At 38.2% G+C, this 21,555-nt stretch overlaps 1 long non-coding RNA gene across 1 annotated transcript in view, besides 1 other annotated feature; it reads left to right on the plus strand.

Annotated features, from left to right (window-relative positions):
* LOC101927947 (uncharacterized) overlaps window positions 1–21,555 on the plus strand; it is a 469,997-nt gene that overhangs the window by 72,050 nt on the left and 376,392 nt on the right. The window contains exons 5-6 of the long non-coding RNA XR_007058336.1: window positions 7,321–7,443; window positions 13,199–13,309. This is a non-coding gene — a long non-coding RNA (uncharacterized LOC101927947). The remainder of the gene's footprint in view (window positions 1–7,320; window positions 7,444–13,198; window positions 13,310–21,555) is intronic.
* Window positions 15,519–15,638: an enhancer, noted in NCBI's record as "active region_22072". NCBI's record gives its function as "activates an Ori minimal core promoter by ATAC-STARR-seq in GM12878 lymphoblastoid cells {active_cell/tissue: GM12878}" and the evidence as "EXISTENCE:reporter gene assay evidence [ECO:0000049][PMID:35858748]".

The following is a 21,555-nucleotide window of genomic DNA, read 5'->3' on the forward strand; positions in this document are numbered from 1 at the left end:
GAGCTGCACTTGCTCAGCCTCAGGTCTGTGCTCCTTCCCTCTCAACAAAGCGCCATTTGCCAAGTCAGGCACTGACTTTCTTCCTGGCACTGAGTGAAGGGCTCCACAGTCACCCTGCCATTCAATCCCTTACAGTGGGCTCTGCTATTATCTTCACTCTATGGGTGGGGAAACTGAGGCTTAGAGGTGTTAATAACCTTCTCCGGGTCACAGAGATAACACATGTGAAGCCTGAATTCAAGTCCAGGTCAAATTTTTGGTTAGGGAACCTTAGATTGTATCCACTAGAATTATAGGATTAAATTTCCCTGTACCTGAAATTACAATGAAGTGAGGTTGTTATTCTGATGACTAAGGTGCCCTTCAATTAAAAAAAAATTGGCTTGCTGTTTGTGATTTATCCCTCCAGATTAGGGGCTTGAGGATTAGGTAAACTAATTTTTTCAAGGCTGACTGTTTCCTCCTCATCTCTTTGTCCTACTTCCTCCATAGCACTTTCTTGGCAGCATTTAGGTCTCTCTGTTCCTTTCGCTTCCCCTGACAGCCTATAGCTTCACTGGGCACTGAAAATACACTTGCTTGCACTGCTGCTTCAGGGCTCTTGCAGGAGATGCTATGTGGTATGGAGAAAGACAGATTAGAACTGGGTAAGGAGAAGCCAGTGTGCCTAGGTGGAGGTGGGGCTGCAGTGTTACACACGATGGTCAGGGTAGGCCTCCTGGGGACCATGATATTTGAAGAAAGATAGGAAGAGCTGTGCGTGTGTGTGTGTGTGTGTGTGTGTGTGTGTGTGATGTGATGTGTCTTAACACCAAACTAGATCGTGAACTCCTCGACAGAGGTCCTGTTTTATATTACCTGGCATTCTGTATGCTGTGTTCATAGTAGGCACCCAGATGTATTTATTAAACTTAGTGTATATGAAATTTAGTAAATTGCTACCAGGAACGAATTAGGTATGAGTGAATAGTGGGATGATTTATTTTCTTTTAAGAGCCTCTCTTTCTTTTAACAAATAACATTCTTGTTCTTCTTTCCTCTGGCCATAATGGCAATATATGCTTACTGTACAAAACTGTAGAAACCCTGCAAACATAAAGAAGAAAATAAAAATCACTCACAATTCCAGCTCTCAGTATAATCACTGCCATGCATTATGGTGTATTTTCTTTCTTTATACACACACACACACACACACACACACACACACACACACACACACACACATATAAGTTAAAACATAGGATCATATTCAGTAATATTTAAAATGTTGAATGACCTGTATATCAGAGACACTGATCCACTGTAACCCTTCAGTGGTTGGATGGTGGGGATGGTCGAGGGACTCTAGAGGATGGGCCAGTGCAGCAGGAGGACACTATTTACTAGTACTAGGCCAGGTTGGCCATACCAGCACATCTGGAGTGACCACCAGCCCTGAGTGTACTGTATGTAGTTTTGTACCTTACTTCTTTTCATCTAACAAAGCACAATCACAGTGTGATTACAAGTCTCTTAACTAAGTTTATAATTTTAAAAATGTCTTTATTGTAAATGTTAACTTTCATCATGGCACTATAAGTATCAACTAAAAAATATCTAAATGCTTTTAAAGTCTTTTATCTTGGGCAAAGCAACACCACAGATCCTACCTTTCCACTGTTCCCCAGATCCTAGCTGGCTCAAGAGTCTTCTTGCCTCTGCTGCAGCAATTACTTGGCTTGGTGTGTAGATGTCTGAATGCCATGAAGTTTAGAGAGGAAAAGATGACAAGAGCAAAGTAAACAAACAAGAAAGGCCGTGGATCTTGGTTGATGCCAACAGATGCCGTGTCGTGAAGATGCTCTGAAGGAAAGACGTTGACGGGGTCTCCTCACTCTCCTGGGCCCTTCTGACTAGTGACTGTCTTCTCACTGCTGCTGCTACCAGTGCCCAGTTTGTTGCCTGAAGCCAAAAGCTGAAAGCTCACATAATCTTTTGAAGAGTACTACATAAGTAAATTGAGTTCTCATAATGAAGAATAGCTGAGTAAACACTGCCACACCATGTGGCTACATGCATTTCCTAAGATTAAAAACATTTGCAGTTACAGAAACAGACATGGGATAGGAAACACAGGTCTATTTTATTTTGTGGGTTTTGAAATTAAACCAATTGTTTACAGTAAAGGCGCTGAAGTTCTGCAGATTAAAAGAATGAATTAAATGTATTTATTCAACAAATATTTATTGATCATCCACTACATGCCAGACACTGAGCCAGGTGCCAAAGACAAGCATGGGTCATAGAGGTTTCATGGTGCTTCCGGGGAAATTTATTAAATGGAGACAGAGCAGTGATTATGCTTTTCTTTATTTCATAAATGTGAATAAGAGTATATAGTTGTTTCTCAGCGAAATGTTAATTTTCTTTATTTTAGGGCTTCAGCTGCTTCTGTATAAGAGAAACTTTATTTTCAGCCCCAGAAGTTCATTCCAATGTGTTTTCATGAATTTACAGCTATGTCACAGATATTGCAACATATTGTTGTGCTTCAAATCCTCCAAGAGGGGCCACTTTTGATGTGCTGAGACATTTAAAGTTGGAGGGCTGTTTAGGAAATTGATGCAAAGACATGTGCATTATCATATGTGGAGAGAGAAAAAAATGGCATCTTCAGAGAGGTGCACATATGCCAGGTTAGCCGTGTCCCACCCCATGGGATGAAGAGCTTGAGGAACCAAGGGAAATGCTTATCTGGAGCCCACATCTGCTTTCAGACCATATTCTGAGGACCCAGAACTTCAGATTCCCTGGCCCAGAGTCTCTGAGTCCATGATCAGAGCCTGTGAGGGCTTCTCTTGTAGGTCTGCCATTTTGAATGTTGACTGCTATCACTATGTGCTGGTGTGCACCCAAGCATAGAAGACCCCATCCAAGTAGGATGCAGATGGGAAAAGGGAAGGTGGCTGGACCACCACTGATGTTAGGTATGGGCCTGCATGTAGCTATGGAAATTTTCTCATTGGTTAAAAAAAATGATAAAGCAAGGTGGTGTGTGTGTGCGTAAGTGTGTGTGTGTGTGCATGCGTTTAATCTTTTCAACATTTCCCATTACTTCCTAGAGTTACTCTCTGAGAATTTAGATGAAAGGGAGGTGACCTTTCATTAAATAGAGGATTCTGTTTATTAATGTATCCTCTATAGTTAAAGAATTCTTTTAGAGGAAAACTAAAGTTGAGCATTTTATTTTGTGCATCATCATGTTCTTTGAAGCAATGGATTACATCTTAATCCTGCACACATTCTTAAGATGAGGACTCCATCTGGGAGGACTAATCTTCCACAGAAACGTCTGGGTTACACATGTCCATCCAGTCCTTTGCCAAGTGCTTAATGGAGCACGCAATTGTTGGTGAGATATACTGAGGTCCTCTGGGGAAACCTAAAAGAGAATCAAGGGACTCAGAGCAGCCTGGCGTGCACATCGTTTGGGTCCAGCTTCCATCGCTCAAGCCATTTGTTTTAAATAATTACAATTAGACACTCTTCTTTTTATGCTGTTTCTATTTTTAATTCCATTAAGTTTGAAATAATGGAGGTTATTTTACTCTGTCAGTTTTACAGTTTTCCTTTGGGTTCATTTCTGTCATTGAAGTTAAAACTAGATAAGAGTTCCAGAACCCTTAAATCAAGAATCTAATGATTCGGTCTTCACACTGCTCTGGAAAATGCAGGAAATGCACTTCTAGTAAATACTTCTTTCTAAGCCTTATGGAGTCCTGCAGCCATAATTCATGACAAACTATCTCTTGCATTGAGACTGGTTGCAGAATCATGAACTGTCAGAGCTGGCAGGGATCTGAGAGTTCATATGGTGTCATTGCCTTACTTCACAGGTGAGGCATGAGGATTCAGAGAGGGGAAATGCTTGTCCAAGGTCACAGAGCAAATATAAGGTGAGCTAGGACCCAGGACTCCATGATGTACTTTTCCATCTTCAGTTCATGCGACTGCAATGAATGATCAGGTGGTTCAAATTGTTTCATTGTTGTTTCTTGGTTTAGGCCTGAGAAACCCAAACAAAACTTCAAAAACTTGCCCATCCCCTAAATTTTTGTGCTTTTAACAAACCATTTTGAGTAAATTAGGAGTTCTTGGCTTATTTCAGCCTTATCCCTACACTGTCAATTCTTGTTATTTGTAGTAGTTATGTTCTGTAAGTTTCCATAAATATCATTGCTCCTAGAGGAAACAGTTAGGTTCCTGTGAACCTCTGGTCACAACATTTTCATCAAGCAATCAATACATAACCTTGCTTATATGTGTCTCTGCTTAAAGACACCTTATTTAATATATGTTGTTGATTTGTTAACATTTAACTCATGGCCAACATCACTGTAACTCATGCCAAAATGAGGCTTATCTAGCACGTGTATTTTCTCTGTAAAGCACATCACAGCACAGCCTTCTTGTGCTTAGGAACACCAGACAGTGCTTCAGCACTGTGCCTAGGGGCCGTTTTACACAGAGAAGTCACCAACAACAAGCACAGACACATGAAAAGCTTGGCATTGCATAGACTGTGAAGAGGAGATGTATTTATAGCATGAGAGCTGAAAGAAGAAGGCAGAGCGTTGGCTTGTTCCACCTCAGCTGGGAACGTGCACGTCAGGGACTCAGTTTTTTGGCCACTCCACGCGTACCTATGAGTGACCACAAAAGTGCTGTGAGTATTGATTTTGGGTGTTAAAAATACATTTTTAGTTGGTGAATTTGCATATACAGAGTTTGTGAATAATGAGGATCGACTGTACACACAAGCTTGCACATATCACCACACATTATAATTTCATCCATTAATTTTTAGGTTTCACTTCTGATTCCATGTGGAGCACTTTCAATCCTACATTGGTGGTGCAGTTATGCTGGGAGCCTTTACACAGGCTTCCTAAAAGTCATTCTTCTAAGTGCACCTAGTTTCTAATAGTTGTGTTGCTGAAAGACCCCTTACAGTAGAGCCAGGCTCCATCTCCCTAATCCCAGAACTTCACAGAGTGGGAACCCTCTCTTGGAACCACTATCCACACTCTTCTCCCTCCGATTATGCCAGCTTGTTATGGGTGAAGAGGTGGGTCTCTATACAAACTTGTCCCAAGGAGACTGCTTCATAACTGCTTTTGCCCCCAGAGTTCTGTTCTCAGCCCTCTTCTTACTTGAGCCTCACTTAGGAGTGCTTGTTAGTCCCATGCCTGACCTAGCCAGGCCCATGACTCCCAAATCCTTACCTCTGGTAAGACCTTTCTTCTGCTCTCCGTATCTCCCTCTCCAGTTTCCTCCTTGACATTTCTACCAGAAAGACCCACTGGGACCTCAATATGTCCCAAAGAGTTCTCATTGCCTCCAGCCCCACTCCAAAGCCTGCTCCTTCTTCTCTTCTTCTGGAGGCCTTGGCACCTTGGGCCATTGCCAACCACTTACACAAGCTTGAATTTTGAGTGTCATTCTTAATTGCTCCTTCTCCTTTATTCCCAGATTCTGCTATCTTGTGAAGTCCCACAGATAGTGCTCTTGCTCCCATCTGCCCATGCCTCTCAAGTGTCAATTACATGGCTCTATTCCAGTTCTTATTGAGTGTGGCTGTCAGTCTTGCATGCCTCTGAGCCACTCTCCACAGTGCTCCCAGAAGGATCTCTTGGGAACACAAATGTGACCATTTAACTCTCCTTCTTTAGATCTTTCAGTAACTTCCCATTGACTACTGGATACAATTTCAATTTAATAAAGGCCTTTTCTAATATGACTCCTGCTTCCTCTCCTGTTGCATCTTCTATCACCACCCGTACACCAGCTACATTCTTTGAAATTCTTAAAACACCTCATGCCCTTCCTGCCTGCTTGCCTTTCTGTGTGCTCTGCTCTGCCTGCAATCTTGTTCCTGCACCCATTCCTCTTGTGAGCTCCTGCTCACTATTCAACACGTGGCTCAAGGTTTGCCTCTTCTATGAAGCCTTCCTTGACACCTACACACAATGTAGTCAGTTCTCCCACGTTTGAGCTTCTAGAGACCTTTGAGCAAACATAAATTATATCACTCTATTTTGGAATTTTAAAATAATGGATCTAGTTTTGGACATGTGTTTTAGATGCTTTGAGGCACATCCATGAAGAAATACTCAGTAGGCAGTCCCACAGAGTCAGGGTACATAACTTCTAGGACATAAAGAAAATCCAATAAATCTTAAGACTTTATGGCACCCTAGTAGCCATTATTTCAAATTTGCAGGAGACATCCCTCTTTTTTCCTCTTCCTGCTTATTAGTTATTTTCATTCATGTGGCTACACTCATATCTGAGCCACATTGAATGAATTTGACTAATAAATTTCATGAGTTACATTGTCAGATACCCTTTCCCTAGTTCAGAGTTACAATTACTTCTGAGAGAGTATTGCCAATTTCATGTCTCCTTTTGCCTATTATGCATTTAAATTTCCCTGTTTTTCTCCATGAAGATTCCAGACACAGCTATGAGAAAGCTGTTCTTGGTCTCATTAACTCCCTTGAGAGGACAACCATGCTTAGTGAGCACCAGGGGACTATTGCTGGAGTCTGGGCCCAGGGGTCCCAACCAAACAGTAGAATAGGCATTTCTGAGCTAATTATTCAAGCCCAAAACATTGTACCCCTAGCAATGATCTTCCATTGGAAGACTGAAACTGTGCAGGTTGTATTTTGTCTGACTTTATCTCCATTTCCTGGTGCAAATTGCCCTTCCTCTTGCTCTTTTGTTTTTGATTTCCTTCCTTCTCTGAGCCTCAAATTGTACTACAAAGCTTGTCACATAGTAGAGGCTCAAAAAAAGGTCTATTGAGCTAAATTAGAATGAATTTTTAAGCTATGCGAAGGCTAGCTCCTCACAATGGCAAATTCTTACTTTGTGTTCTCTACCCTGTAAGACTTCCTTCTCATGTAAATATGCCTACAGAAAAATTCCTTGGAAATGGTATTTATCCTTTACTTTTGTGTTTGAGCTTGTGATTGAAGGGGGTTGAAGAGAAGCTGTAGCTTCCTTGGCCACTTGCTGTGGTCTCTGACATTGTAGGTATCCCATGTTTATCGGAGAGTTCACTCTTCTGACCAAACTTGATTTGTAACAGGAAGCTCCTTCCCCAGAGCCAAACAGCACTTGCTCCAAATATGTCTAGAGGGAAATTCAGATTCAAATCAATCATTCTCCCAAAGTCTTTTCTTACCAAAATATTCTATATGTTGGAACAGTGATTTAGTCCATGTTGATGTGACCCTTGACACTTCTATATGGTTGATCTTCTTTCTCCAGGATGTCACATTGTGCTTAGACATTCTCAGTTTTCTGAAAAATTATGAGGTTCATGACCCCCCTGAGAAGCCCACCTTGGAAATGAAGATGTCTATTGTGAGAGGAAATGGTCTCATATCTCAGGTAATGCAAAAAATTATATTCATTTGTAGTCAGGGCATGGAAACATTTCTGTAAATCATTCAAACTTTTCATCTTACACTTTTAATCCTGATTTATACTTTTATTACTAAAATATCCCTTAGTCCATCTAAATATTGACTATGCTCTGTGAGAGAGAAGTAACAGTTATAACCATGAGGAATAAAATAATTCTTTTTGGGTCTCTCTTTTCATACTGTCTATTTTGTCAGTACCTGTCTTTCTAAAATTCTGTTTAATCTGCTGAATGGTTCCCTTGTCTTTCAACCTACTATTATTCTCTGATGTCGTTTTCTCCATCTTTTGGGCAATATTTGAAAAATTCCTATAATCATTCATTCTCTGATTCCTTTAGTTAGTTCTATTCAGTCAGCAAAATTTCAAAGTGCAGTGAAATTAAAAATTACAAGCACTGCCAAATTCCAAACTTACTGACCTCGCCAAATGGACTTGAGAAAATGTTCTCCAATATAAACTTTAATTTTTTCCTATTGGTTAAAAATTCTTTCCAAAGGATGTCAGAAAGTAATAAAGAGGGAAACATTTTTAGGTCTAACTAATTAATATTTTAGACAAGTTAAGGTTCTTATGATGGAGACCCCACTGTTTATTTAAACAAAGAAGCAGAAAAATAAATGTCACAGGACCTATATATGAGGCATTTATAATTAATAATAAGTCTATTCCTTCAGAACCATCCTTATGTAGTTTTTCTAGCCAAAATGAGAAAATGTTCTCAGCTTGTGAGTTTATAGGTTAAGTTGAAGTGAAAGGATTTTACCTTCTTTGTCGTACTGATTGATCCTAAATGCTAGTCTTAGGCTGAACACTCAACAGGACAATTCTGACCACTCAAAGAGGGTAGTTGGGGTTCACTAGAGTTCTTCCCATGCCAGTGTTCAAATCATGTGTTTGCTTTTAAGTTCTGTTACATTTTCATCAGGCATGTGTTGGCTTCTTTCTGCTAAGATCAATCACCTTATTCCTCTGTGTATTTCTAAAGCAAATTAAATGCATTTTTTTCCCCAAACCAATGCTGGCATCACTGTTTAAGGAATTGGAATAAAGAGCTGTGGATTCCAGGTTGCCAATAACTTTCTTCATGAAGTCTAGCTGATTACATGGAAAGCCAGGAGCAAGGTTTATTGGGAGAAAGAAAGAATAAAGAGTTTAAAATTTGGTTAGGAAGAAAAGAGAAATATATGAAAATATAGTTAGTTAACATGGCATATGATAAGGGCAAATTAGTCTTGCATTATTCTCAGTTTATTTACATTGGACTGGGGAAGACTCATCATTGAGTTTGGTTTTGAAATAACTCTGATTTGAAACAAATGAGACATTTTAGTAGAATTCTGAATTGTTTAAAAAATATTTGGCCTAACTCCTGGGAGATAGATTATATATTTTTTCAAATGTTCTTCTCAAAAGCACAGTCTATTATATCTTGTTAGTAAATATTAGATGAAAGTTTGAAAGGGATAATGATGAATCAGCCTTCGGGTTTGGTTTCCTCATGTGTGAAATGTGGTTAGCAACTAGATGATTTACACCATCTCTCTTACTCTTAGCTCCATGAGTTTAATATGGAGCTGTACATAAGACAGAAAAGCAAAATTAAGAGGATCTTCAAAATAATATTAGATTTAAAAATCCATTTTGTCTTTTGGGTAAAAGCAAGCAAACAAAAAGAACTAGAAACATCAAGTTATTGAGAAGATTAAAGGAAGTGTGTGTGTGTATATATATATATGCATACATACACATACATATGTATATATATAATTGTTTAAAAAAACCATATTTGTACCAATAATTCTATCATATAAATTAAATATGACTAAAAGGTTGAAATTCCTTGTTTCCATGGTCTCAAACAGAGTGGACTGGGGAGTTCCACATCTCTATCTTTTCTAAGCCAATCTTGATATCATAGTTAATTGCAATGACATCTTTTGTTCAAATAAACTGCAGTTGATAGAGACACAGCCTCTTTTGATCAATAAGTTTGAAGCGTAATGCCAAGAGCAAGAGACATAATTTGTGAGGGGTAAATCAGTGGAGTAATGGCATTCCATTAAAAAGATAATGCTAGTCCAGAAATACTGAGATAATGGAAGCAATTGCCTAGAAGGCTTATTTTCCCTTCTTTTAGCTTCATTAATCAGAAAAGGAGAATGAAGCCTGGACTGAGGACTACAGTTCATAGTAAGAGGAAGAATCTTATTTTTCCATCTTTAATTTCTATGATAGTCCAAATCTATATTAAAAACACCGAGAACATTCAAAATGTTCATGAAGTATTTTAAGCAACAATAATAGCGCAATATAGTACACTATGTATAGAGAAAAGAAAGAGAATAGCTTATCACCAACTTTATGAAACTTACTGACTCTAAGTAGAGAACGAGCCGGTCAGGTTTCAAGTTTTTCTTAAATGTCAATATTCTAAAAAAGAAAGCTGATTCTTGGGGAGTCTAAGGAAATAAATGATTCTTCAAGCATTTGCATATTTTGTGACTAAAATCATAGGCAACTTGTTCCTCACAACATGAAACTAATTTTACATGTGTCTACTTAATGAAATATGTTTTTTGGAAATAATCTTATTTATTTCCCTGTATCCCATGAAGCCAAATCTCTCCTCAAATCAATCTCTTCCTTTCTCTCCTTTTTAGTGTAACAGACATTTGTTGTTTTTGCTATTGGGACCTGGGTAGTTAAAAAATTTGATTATCAACTCAAAATTTCCAAGGTACGTATTTTCTTATGGGAAGTGATGGATAGATGTCATAAAATGCAATGCTAATGTCATGAGACATTAAAAACAATAAGCGTCCAGAACTTTAATCGCTAACTGAATAAGGCTTCCATCAAAGTAGTCACCTTTGGAGACGAGATGCTTGGATGATCATGCCCCTGCTCTAAACAATTTTGGAACTTTTCTTTTGGAAAGAACTTTGGAGTAAGGAATGGGCAATGCCAAAAATTATTTCAAGATTGTACCGACTAACTATCTTTTGTACGAGAAGACATGTTACCCAGCATAATCACCCACATGCAGACTTGACTTCTTTATCCGTCAGGGTTCAAGCAAGAAATATATTGCTCACTTACATAATGTGAGTGTGTGTGTGTGTGTGTGTGTGTGTGTTTAATTGAGGACCTTTTAACAAAGGTCTATTTATAAAAGATGTGGAAGGGATAATGGGAAACCAATAAGGGATGGGGGAGCCTTTATTTTTCCTAGGTTTGGATTGGATAAAAGTAGGGAGGTGCTATTGGCATGTTGAGTCAGATGTTACGTAAGAGCTTTCCCACTGCACCTGGGGACTACAGAGGAGAAGGCAGCCACACCTCTGAGCTCACTCTCCTCTTTACCTTCAAAACTCTGATGGTGCTTCCTTTTGTCCATTCTTGATGGAAAGCTGGAGAGCCAGGGACCCTCCTTTCTTCAGCCCATACAGATCAGTCTGCTAGGACACAGAGCAGAGTAGAGAAGCATGGAGAGTGATCTGGAGGGGCGAGTGGAGAATACCCAGCACAGCCATTCCTGGCTCACCTGTTCACAGTGATCCTCATCGCTCCACCAAAGACTGTCAGGAGGACGGGTGTAGCTGTGGAAGGCAGTTCTAAGAGAAGGGTCCCTTACATAAATGGAAAATGGAAACTCACTGGAATAAGCAGGCAGCCAACAGGGGAAATGAGTATGCTTTAGTTCATTCATTATGATTCAGCCTTATTCCTTTACCTTATTCCTTTACAGCCATGTCTTAGCTTTTGACAGGAACATATGTGAATGACTTTTAATACATTCAAACTAAGACATTTTCATTGTTCTTTAGGTGAAACAAATGTATATTTTTTTGTGAAGACTTTTAATAGAGAGTGGAAAACTACAAAATGACGAATCAAAAATGTGTGTGTTTGGTGTGTGTGTGCGGTCATCTCCATAAATTAACTATGCACATAGAGTCTTGAAAATCTCACTTGGATTTGGGAATTGGAGATTAAAAACAAAAATTTTGGACATCTGTAATAATCCAAATCTGCCTGCTCTTGACAGTTTTTATTTTCTTGAACCAGTTTCAGTGCCTTGGCAGGTTCAGTGATGTTTTATTTTTGCTGGAAAATAGGAGCAGGGCAGTAGTCATGACTGCCAGGGACACAAAAGACAAATTATCCTGAGTGTGCTCTGGAAAACATTGAGAGCATTGATGTACAAGCCTTGATTTGCTGGACAGAGGTATGGATTACCTAATAGGGCTTCTACTTCTCTGGCACAATTAGGCTATCTTTTATCCAAATTAAGAGATTGAACATTTTTCCTATGAAAATCAGGTCAATTTTTGGTCTTGTAATTCACCAGTTATTGTGCACAGTTACTATCTCTGTCTGTTGAATAACAGTGGTTCAAAGGTCCTAAATGAGATACTAGGAGAAAGCATTTATTGTATGTTCTTTTGAGTAATTGAGACAGAATAGAGTGTGATATCAAAACTGGTTTTTGTCCTTAAGAAAACCCGAGGTACAGATGGATTCAGTGGTAACTTCTAGCAAATATTTAAGGGAGCGATGCCAATCTTATACAAATTCTTTCAGAAAATAGAGGAGGAGAAAATGTGTCCCAACCTGTCTTATGAGCCAACACAGCCCTGATGCCAAAACCTGTCAAAGATATTACCAAAAATAAAAAAAAAGAAAAGACAGGAAAATTGCAGACCAATATTTCTCATGAACATAGGGACCAGATTCTCAATGAAATATCAACAAATTAAATCAATAGCACATAAAAGAATATTACATAATAACAATGTGGAAGTTATTCCAGAAATGCAAGATTGATTTAATACTTAAAAATCAATCAACGTAATTCACCATATTAACAAAATAAAGGAGAAAATTTAAATGATCATTTTCATAAATGCAAATTTGTCTATGTGCTTTTCTTTACATATATGTGAATTCATGATAAAGTATTGCCCTTTAAAAACTTTCTGTCTCACTTTTTTTTAATAAAAAAAGGAAAACAAAAGTAAAGACAAGCTCTATAGTTTAGTTTAAAACTCTGTTTAAAGATTAGTTTCTTTATAAGTAAAGATTATACTTAATTTTTTAAAAATGGCAGAAAGAGTGAAATTTATAAAAATCCTAATTGCTCACATAGTAGGGGTCAGATTTGACCTCAACTGGATCTGGAATGGATCTGTCGTCCATACTACACACACCCACAGAATGCATTTTTCCTTTGCTGCACGTCCACATTCAGCCTGTGGTAAGTGAGCTCCCACATCTGTCCAAGTCAAGGTGCTGGGGTCTGAGGGCCTCTTTGGATGTGGCTGGTGTCAACCTAAAAAAAGATGAGAGAGATGTCCAAATCAGGGGTGCAGCTCAATGGAAAGCAACTTCCCCCTTCTTTCCCTCCCTCCCTTTCTCCAGCCATTCATCCGTGTAATAAATAGCTGAGGATCTACCTTGTGAAAGGCACAAGAGAAAAGAAGCTGCTGCCCTCCTGGAATGTATATTCTAAGAGGATTACTCATGGCAATAATAATATGCTTATCTTTCTCTTATGTATCAGAAACCCAAGGAGTAAATGTGGTGGTAATTTTTGGTCTACCACAGTTTAGATGGCTCTTGAATGGGCTAGAATATAACTTCCAGTTTTGTTCATTTCATTTCTGGCCAAAGACTATCTGCTTTCTTATCTTCCTTCCCCTTTCTCATTTCTGTACAGGATTCTACGTGTTTTAAGAGTTGGTCCTACCTTTCTTCTCGATCCACTTGATCACAAAGCAACCTTTCTAGAACATCGTTTTCGCCATCACAAGACAGTTGGTTCCAGATGGTAAAGCCTGATCATTTAAGAACTCTTGATGGAAACATTTTGTGAATAGGCAAATAGTTTCAGTGTTTTTTTCTTTTTTGGTTCTGCATTGACTCCTCAGAGATTTGGTTGGAAGTTGTAGGCCTAGTTTTACTTGGAACATTACATATTCAATAAATCCCTCGATTAATCTTACTTTGTGTCATGGAAGAACATGGAATTTCTTTGATATTTAATCTGTAAAGTTTCAAAGAAAGTCTTTAGGGTCTATCAAGGTAGCATAACAATATTTAAGTGATAACAACAATAGAAATTAAGCTGAACTCTTGAAGAATTTCTATAGATATGTGATTATTTTGGATCTTGGGTGTTATGAATGATGTGGTATGACGTATGACATTGTGAATATATGGCATGACACAATGTATCTCTCAGGGGAATAATATTGAAATTATTTATAAAATAATTTCTTCTAACCTAATTCCATTGTTTTCTTGTTCTGTTTGGTTGTTAATTCCAGGGTTCCTCTGTGAATTTTCTGAAACGTTTTAGGTTGAACCTGAAGCACTGTTACTCTGTACGTTTTATGAGATTCAACTGAATATGTCTAGTTCTTGACAGCTAATTATTTCTATACACAGGTTCCTAATTATTATTAGGCTTCATCCTGTCTCAAGGGTTTTTTCTCCTAAATGGAAATTTGTGTTTATGTAATAACACCATACTAGTTATTTAATGGACTATTGTCTGTCAACATTGCCTGTTTTGCTGAATGTTGGGTCTGTACTTACCACTTCCACAGAGGTTTCATTTTTGGCTTTTTTTGAGGGGTTAGATTATTCTCTGTCTTGAAGGAAATAATTATGTTTATAATGACAGGAACAGAACCTTTTCTTAGGTGAGTTACTTTCCTAGGTAGATGGTGCAATTTAATCCTCTGTTATATATTTTGTTCATAAGATGAAGTGAAAATCACCTACCCTCTGAAACATTCAATTTTTATTCCAGAAGCAGTTTATGTAATAGTCCTTAAGGATTTTTCTGGAGGCTCCACTTTTCCCTACATGTCTTGTTAAGCTATGGCCAAACTGCAAATTACCCAGCCTTTGAGAGCAGGTGATAAATAAAATAACTGGATTGAGGTGGTCCAAAGAGATTTTGCAAAGTCATCTACTCTATCATATATTTTTGACTGTTCTTCAGGTGAAAAGTAGTTTATAATTAATAGATGAACCAAACCAATTCAAGATTATTAATTGAAAGTGTGCAAGTAGGCAGGAAACCAGCATTTTCTGAGATCATTGTATCATTTAATCTTTCAACAACCTTCTAAGGAAAAATGTTACTTTTTCCTGTGTCACTGATGATAAACTAATGATAACTTGCTCATTATCAGGCATTGAGTTAGAAACCAGAGTAAGATTATAATCCAGGCTTATGGCATGCTGCTATGAACTGAATGTGTCTCCCTTAAATGCATATGTTGAAGCCTTAAATCCCCAATGTGGTGGTATTAGGAGGTGGGGCCTTTGGGAGGTGATTAGGTTTACAGGGGGTTATTAGGGTGGAGCCCCCACAATGGGATTAATGTCCTTATAAGCAGAGACCAGAGAGAGAACATCTCTCCTCCATCCCCCATGTGAGGATACAGCAAGAAGGCATCTGTCTGCAAGAAAGCCCTCACCAGAAACCCCGAATTGGCTGACATCTTGATCTTGTACTTTCCAGCCCCCAGAATTGCGAGAAATACATTTCTCTTGCTTAAGCAACTCAGTCTATGGCATTTTGTTACAGTAGCCTGAGCTGATTAAGACAGCTGACTTGTTTAGGAATAGCAATCTTGCCTCTGCTTAGGGAATTTCTACTTTGAAGATTACCAGAAACAAGGGAAAGAGGAAACCACTTGGTCATCACAATTTGAAAAAAAATTATATTATAGAGTTTATCAGTGCTGAAAATAAAAGATAACAAATGAGCAATTTAACTAGAAAGGAAGAGAAAAGAATAGAAAATTATCTCTGAGGCCTTTGCCTTGCCTTTGGAAAAGGATTCGAGCTGGTATATGGCAAATAAAACTTTCAGCCTGGGGCTTGCCAAAATGTCAGAGAAGATTTCAATGTCTTTTACTCTCGTCAGTGCACAAGCCACGGAGAGAAACAAACCACCACTCTGTGGCTTGTCTGTTCCACTTAGCAGTAGAATTTAGACCCCACATCTGAGCATGGGCTGGGGTTCAGGCTTTAATGACTCAGAGATCACTTCTTTCATCCACCGGCTCAGGGAGAAGGTAAGATTTGTGACGCTTGTCCAGGCCAGTGAACAGAGGTGTTCTATTTCCCATCTTAAATATGGATGGTCCTTATGCTCTTGGGAGTTTTCAGAAGACTCATTTCAAGCCCTCCTTTTTCTCGGGCTTAATTTCTCATGTTTTGTCTCTCTGAGTGTGTTACCCCAGATGCCAGCCTCTTGGGCCTACATCTGAGACTGAAACCCTGTGAGTCATGGCCTTCAGCTCCTCACTCTTGTTTTGAGGTCTTTTCTATTTCTGGCACATGGAAATTTCTTTCTTGTTTTCACCCCCAGCTTATTTTTTGGTCATTTTATCTTTTATTCAGCATTTCTATGTGTTTTGGAGTAGAATGTACTGTGTCAATGCAGTCTACCATATTGATGGGAGGTTTCCCATTACTGAAAGTGTGATATTTTTATTCTATTTATAGTTACCTGTTGATTTTCCTGAACATTTTGTTATTCTAACCTTGGTTACACTTGTGAGATGACTATATATATACTTTGATAGAAAACTATGTCTATAATGTGCTGGCTCATTAAGAAATAACTTATTTAATTATGTAGTTAAACAGATATTAATTCAGAAACCACATTAGCCTAGAAAATAATGTTAAATATATTTAAGCTTAGAATTTACAAGAAGGCTCTTAGAAAGGTTGAAAGCAAAATTTGCAGAGTGCCTAAGGGTTGAAAGTTTCATTGACTCTTCTGAGCAATGAAACTTTGGCAAAGGATATGTTTTAATGAGGCTTTTTTTTTCCCCCTGAGAGAGAAGACTGGAGTTCTACTTGCTGTATATAAAACTCCCTATAACCTCTTAACAGGTGTTGCAAGAATAAAGAAAACTACTGTTCTGCTCTCCTTGGAGACATCTTACCTGACACACAGATCCAGATTCAACCACAAGGGTAGAGTAGGGGATTACACGATTAAATTGGTCCTTTTCTTCAGCTTCAGAATCAGAACAGAAAGGAGATTCCCATTTTGGGTCTGAAATCAAGTGGCTTTGACAATACTTATTGTTATACTTTGTCCTTGTCCCTTTCTTTAACTCATGGGTTTTCAGGAGGAAGATTTTAATGTTTAATGAAAATATAATTCAGTTCATCTACTTTCAAGTTAAATTTATCTTTTTAAAACTGGCCCAGTGAAAAGCTTTATTTGCTCGACATTCTAGAAATATAATGCTAACAAATAAAGAGGACTGGAAAGCTGCAATTCTTTGGAACAGAATATTCCAGAACAGAACTGAAACCATGTGCCTATTTCAAGCATATTTGAAAAAGCTTGTATCACATTTTGTCTCATCATGGGTTTAATGTCATTGGTAGGAAAGGGAAGGTAAAAATAACTGTCTAAACCCTGACTAAAGATTCTTGACCTGTTAAGAATTTCTCTTAAGATGCAGGAAATGAGATTATCATCTTTTCAGAGGGGTCAGCACCAGGGGAAGGTTTAGAAGAGTGTGTGGCAATCAAAACAAAAACAAAATGAAAACAGAACACACTCCTTCTCTGCGCTAACACCTCATAAAAGTAAAATCCCAACCTAAACAATGAAAATCCAAGAGCTCTAAATAAGACCTAGTATACTGAAAGATCCCAATAAAAATATGTAGTACTATATATATATATATAGATATACATAAAGTAATAGGATGTTTTGAAAGCTGTGGGACATCTGGCCAGGTGAGGAAGGAGTATAAAAAGGTAGAAAAGAGTAAGGTCCTATTGTAATCATAAGGAGTTTCCTTAAACCTCTGGAAGAAACCTTAAAGGCAGGGTCTCTGAATTCCATACCATATGTGAAGACACTTTGCCAGTTTTGATTTCTTTACCTTTGGGGCTCATCAGTGAGTCTGCTATAAGCTAAGAACTTATTTGGAAGTATGTGTGACCCTCTTGTATAGGGAAATAAAAACTAAAAGTTTCTGTAATGCCATGTAGTGAAAAGCACAGTATCTGCTTTTGTTAGCTTGGGTCACATTTTTATTTTTATAAGCAGAGTTTTTCTGCAATCAAGTCGGTTTCCAAGGAATCTGAGAAATAATCTCTCTTTATTTCATTATATCATTTCATTATAAAGAAAGAAACTGATAAATTTGGCCAAAATTATGGCCAAAATGATATTGTGGCTGTGCCTTTGGATAAAGTCATATCCTAGGTATTTCTAATAGCACTGGCACAACCTACCAAAGAATTAAACCTTGAGAAGGAGGAATCTGAGTTGAGTCTTCTAGTTTTTTCAGTTTGGGAGGTTTCCTCTTAAAAGGGCAAATGTTCGTATGTGCCAACTCATGTGAAAAGTTAGGTTATCGGGTACATAATCTCCTTTCCCCTTTTCAAAAATACAGTTGCTTATTAAATTCTTATACATGTAACAGAACCAATACAAATAACATTTTTGATGAAAACATAATTCTGTCTCTATTTCACATCTTCTCACAATTCTCCAGGCCAGAGTTTTGGGATTGCCCTTTCTCTATACTGAATTCTCTTTCCCCGCGGGGTTATAAACTCATGGCCCTGTGATAATAGACTAAGAGGACTTTCCTCTGTACTGTGATAGATGACATTGTGACCCAAGTCCTTCCAGAGAGATATTTTTTGTCTTGTCTGAAATGAATATAGTACCTCTTCATGGCCTAGGCAAATCTGAATATGAGTATGATAAGAGTGTCAAAGTGGAACATAGAGTCTCAAGAATTCTTACCATTCCCACTGTTTTCTATTTGGTGACTTGGATTTCTAAAACAAAATACACATGGTGTAAGTGTGGGAAGGGACCATAGATATAAGGCAATCTAACCTCCAACAATTAATGATGAAGAATCATTAATTGTTTTAACTATTTAATTGTAAGCAAATCATTAGGATTCTTGGTTCTAGACTCAAAAGATCTAGAGCAGTTTGAGTCTAGAACCAAGAAGCCTAATGATTTGTTTCACAAACTCTCCTAGTGTTCATGTTTGGTTGGGGACTTTTGTGGATGTATCCAAAGGATAATGATTACTCCAAGAGGGAAAGGAAATAAGTGTCAGTGATCCATAATCTCTGTTTATCCCAGTACTCCACAGATATCTAAGGGCATCATCTCAAGAGCTAATAATGCAAATGATTATCTAATTAATAATTTTGTGCTGTTCTTTGGAAAAAATATGCAAGGTTATTCCTGCAGCAAGTACTTTATAGACTTCAATAAATTTCATAAGATTTATTTCTATAATCCCTGCCTCGTACTGCTTGCCCCACAACTCAAATCTTAAAGTTATGCAGTTTGGGTTATTTTGATCATGGACATTTGATGTTTAAGTGGGATAGGGTGGGGTTCAAAACTTAATAAAGTATCTGGGTTTTGTTATGGAATGATGCAAACTTTGGTGAATCTCTTGACAATATTGGGATTGGGAAATCTGCCAAGAATATTGCTTCTACTTGGTGACGAAACATTATAAGGCTTTCTCCAGTATGGCAAGTATTGAGAAATGTGGATTTTCATAGTTTATGAAACCTCTTAGTAAAAAAAAAAGTAACTTTTTTTGCAAAATACTTTGAAAAAAGGAAAATTTCTATTGATCATTTGTGAGTTTATATCTATATTTCGGTGGTTCTCATCTAGGGGCAAAGTTGCCCCGGAGGGAATGTTTGGCAATGTGTAGAGGCATTTTTTGTAGTCATGACTGGGGTGGAGGATGCTACTGGCATCTGGTGGATCGAGGACAGGGATGTTGCTAAATATCATACATGTACATGTAGCACTTTGCCCTAAAAAAGAATTCTGTGTCCTAAATGTCAGTATTTCTGAGGTTGAGAAGCATATCATAATTTTTTATTCTTTCTTAGAATATTAACAGTTTGCATAACTCGTGATGGCCTGGTAACTCTAATTTATACACCAACCATGGTTGAAGGCCAGCACATGCCAAGCCCATCTTTTCAATGTTCTTCAAAGTATAATTTTATAGATCATAGAAGGTGGTACTAGGCAAGCCCTCTGTCTCCTCCCGACTCTTCAAAACATCCTCCTGCGAGGTTAGATCCTCTACTGGCATTTTACAAACACTGAAATTAAGCACACTTTGTAACTTCAAAAAGCACCACCTAAGAATTACTTAAAAAGCAAAAGAAAATGGCTGAACCCTTATCCTTCTCTCACCTCCCACAAATATACCAGAGTCAGCCTGCACCATCACTAGCCTTTTAGTCTTTCAAAACAAACAAAAAAAGAGAAGGAAAGAGACTCCTTTCTCCTCCTTGTCTTAAGCCTGTTAAACTGTAGCATATTTAGAATAAAGGATTTTGCATTTTATGACCACCTAGTTTACTATAAAAGGGGAACGTCAACCATCTTTACCTAATTTCTAAGTTGCACATTGTCCAGGTTTAGCTGATGATTGGAGCATATTCATCCTTTCCCACATACTTGAATAGAAAAGGAAAAAATGTATTTGTCTCTTTGTTGTATTCTGAAATGCTTATTTGTAGTTGTTATGTTAGTACCAGTTTCCTAGGTCTGGACTGTTCTTATTTCCATAGTAACCACATAGCCTATAACTCCTTTAAAAGGTGATCTATTGTTTTTTTTTCTAGTAAATTAGAATTTCTTGCCTTTGTGCTCTGCTTTTTAAAAAATCCATGGTTTGGGATTGTGAGCAAGTAGAGAGATGAGAGGATGCCACACACACTGAATGAAATGTGTATTTAACCTGTAAGAAATATGTGTGGGTTCCCTTTGTGTTAGGTAGTTTTTCTCTAAGATTATTTTTTAATCTACTTGACATAATAAACTACATGTAACATCCAGATGTTCAGCATATTCAGTACAATGAACATTATCAATAATATGTGACATTCTGATGTCTACAACATGCCAGCTTTGTGCTGAATTATTCCTTTATATCATCTACTTTAAAACAATTTTTTAGAACAACCCCATGGGGAAGATGCTATTATTATCCCCATTCTACAGATGAGGAAATAAAGATTGGAAAAGTTAGGAAATAAAGCCGGTATCAACTGATTATTGAGTGGTAGTGGTGGAAGTAGAATCCAGTCTGTCACTGAACCATGAAGCTACTGTACCTCACCATTCAGTAAGCATTGATTGCAGGCAGGCTAGGGGCTGGGGCTGGAAAGACGAACGATACAGTGCCTTCCTTTAAGGAGCTCGCAGCTGAGTGAGGGAGATGGATACACAAACAGATAACTGTTTCAGCCTGAAAATGTTCACAGGATGTTACCAGCATATAGAATGTCTGATGTAGAAACTGGATTGGGTGCCTTATAAATGACCCCGCTACAGGGCCCTCTCTCTTCAATTACTCAGGAACATGTCCAGCTTGGCCTCTGTGCTTCATGGAGGCTGCTCTGACCCTACAGAGGGATGGAAGCCAGGTAGGAGGGTGGTCTGATGCCTCCCCCTGCAAAGTTAAGGACCACAAATGCCAGGTTCAGATGAGGTTGCTATCCTCTGGGAACACCAATCTTCAGTCAAGATGCTTGGAGGAAGTGGATCAGGGTCTGTGATTCTTATGTGTACAGTATATAGAGATTACCAGCAATGGTCCTGGGTGGATTGGTGATGGCTATAGGAAAGTTCTCTTGGGTACAGGCAGCTCTGGAAACTCTCTAAGACCACAGAACAAATCCTGCATTTTTATAGATGGGGAAGATAAGACTTGTATTAGATAAGAGTTCCTTATAAAATGAAGGGAGCTTGTCTTGCTGGGCCAAGAGCATTTAAGCGTCAGAGAGGGATTTGAATCCACACAGCCTATGGACAGTTTCCATGCTCTTAATCAGAGACTGACAGCCTCTCATTGAAATATAGCTGGCCCATTTTGGGCTGGCACAGACTACAATTGAAGGTACAGGATTGTCTATTAAAGTCTTGAGGTTTCCTCTTTTCCCATTCAGCACTTTGCTCTCATTTGCATCTGTGTCTTTTCTGCATGTGACGTTATTGATGTTATCTGT

The sequence above is a fragment of the Homo sapiens genome, chromosome 4 (genome assembly GCF_000001405.40).
Source record: "Homo sapiens chromosome 4, GRCh38.p14 Primary Assembly".
Classification (NCBI taxonomy): domain Eukaryota; kingdom Metazoa; phylum Chordata; class Mammalia; order Primates; family Hominidae; genus Homo; species Homo sapiens.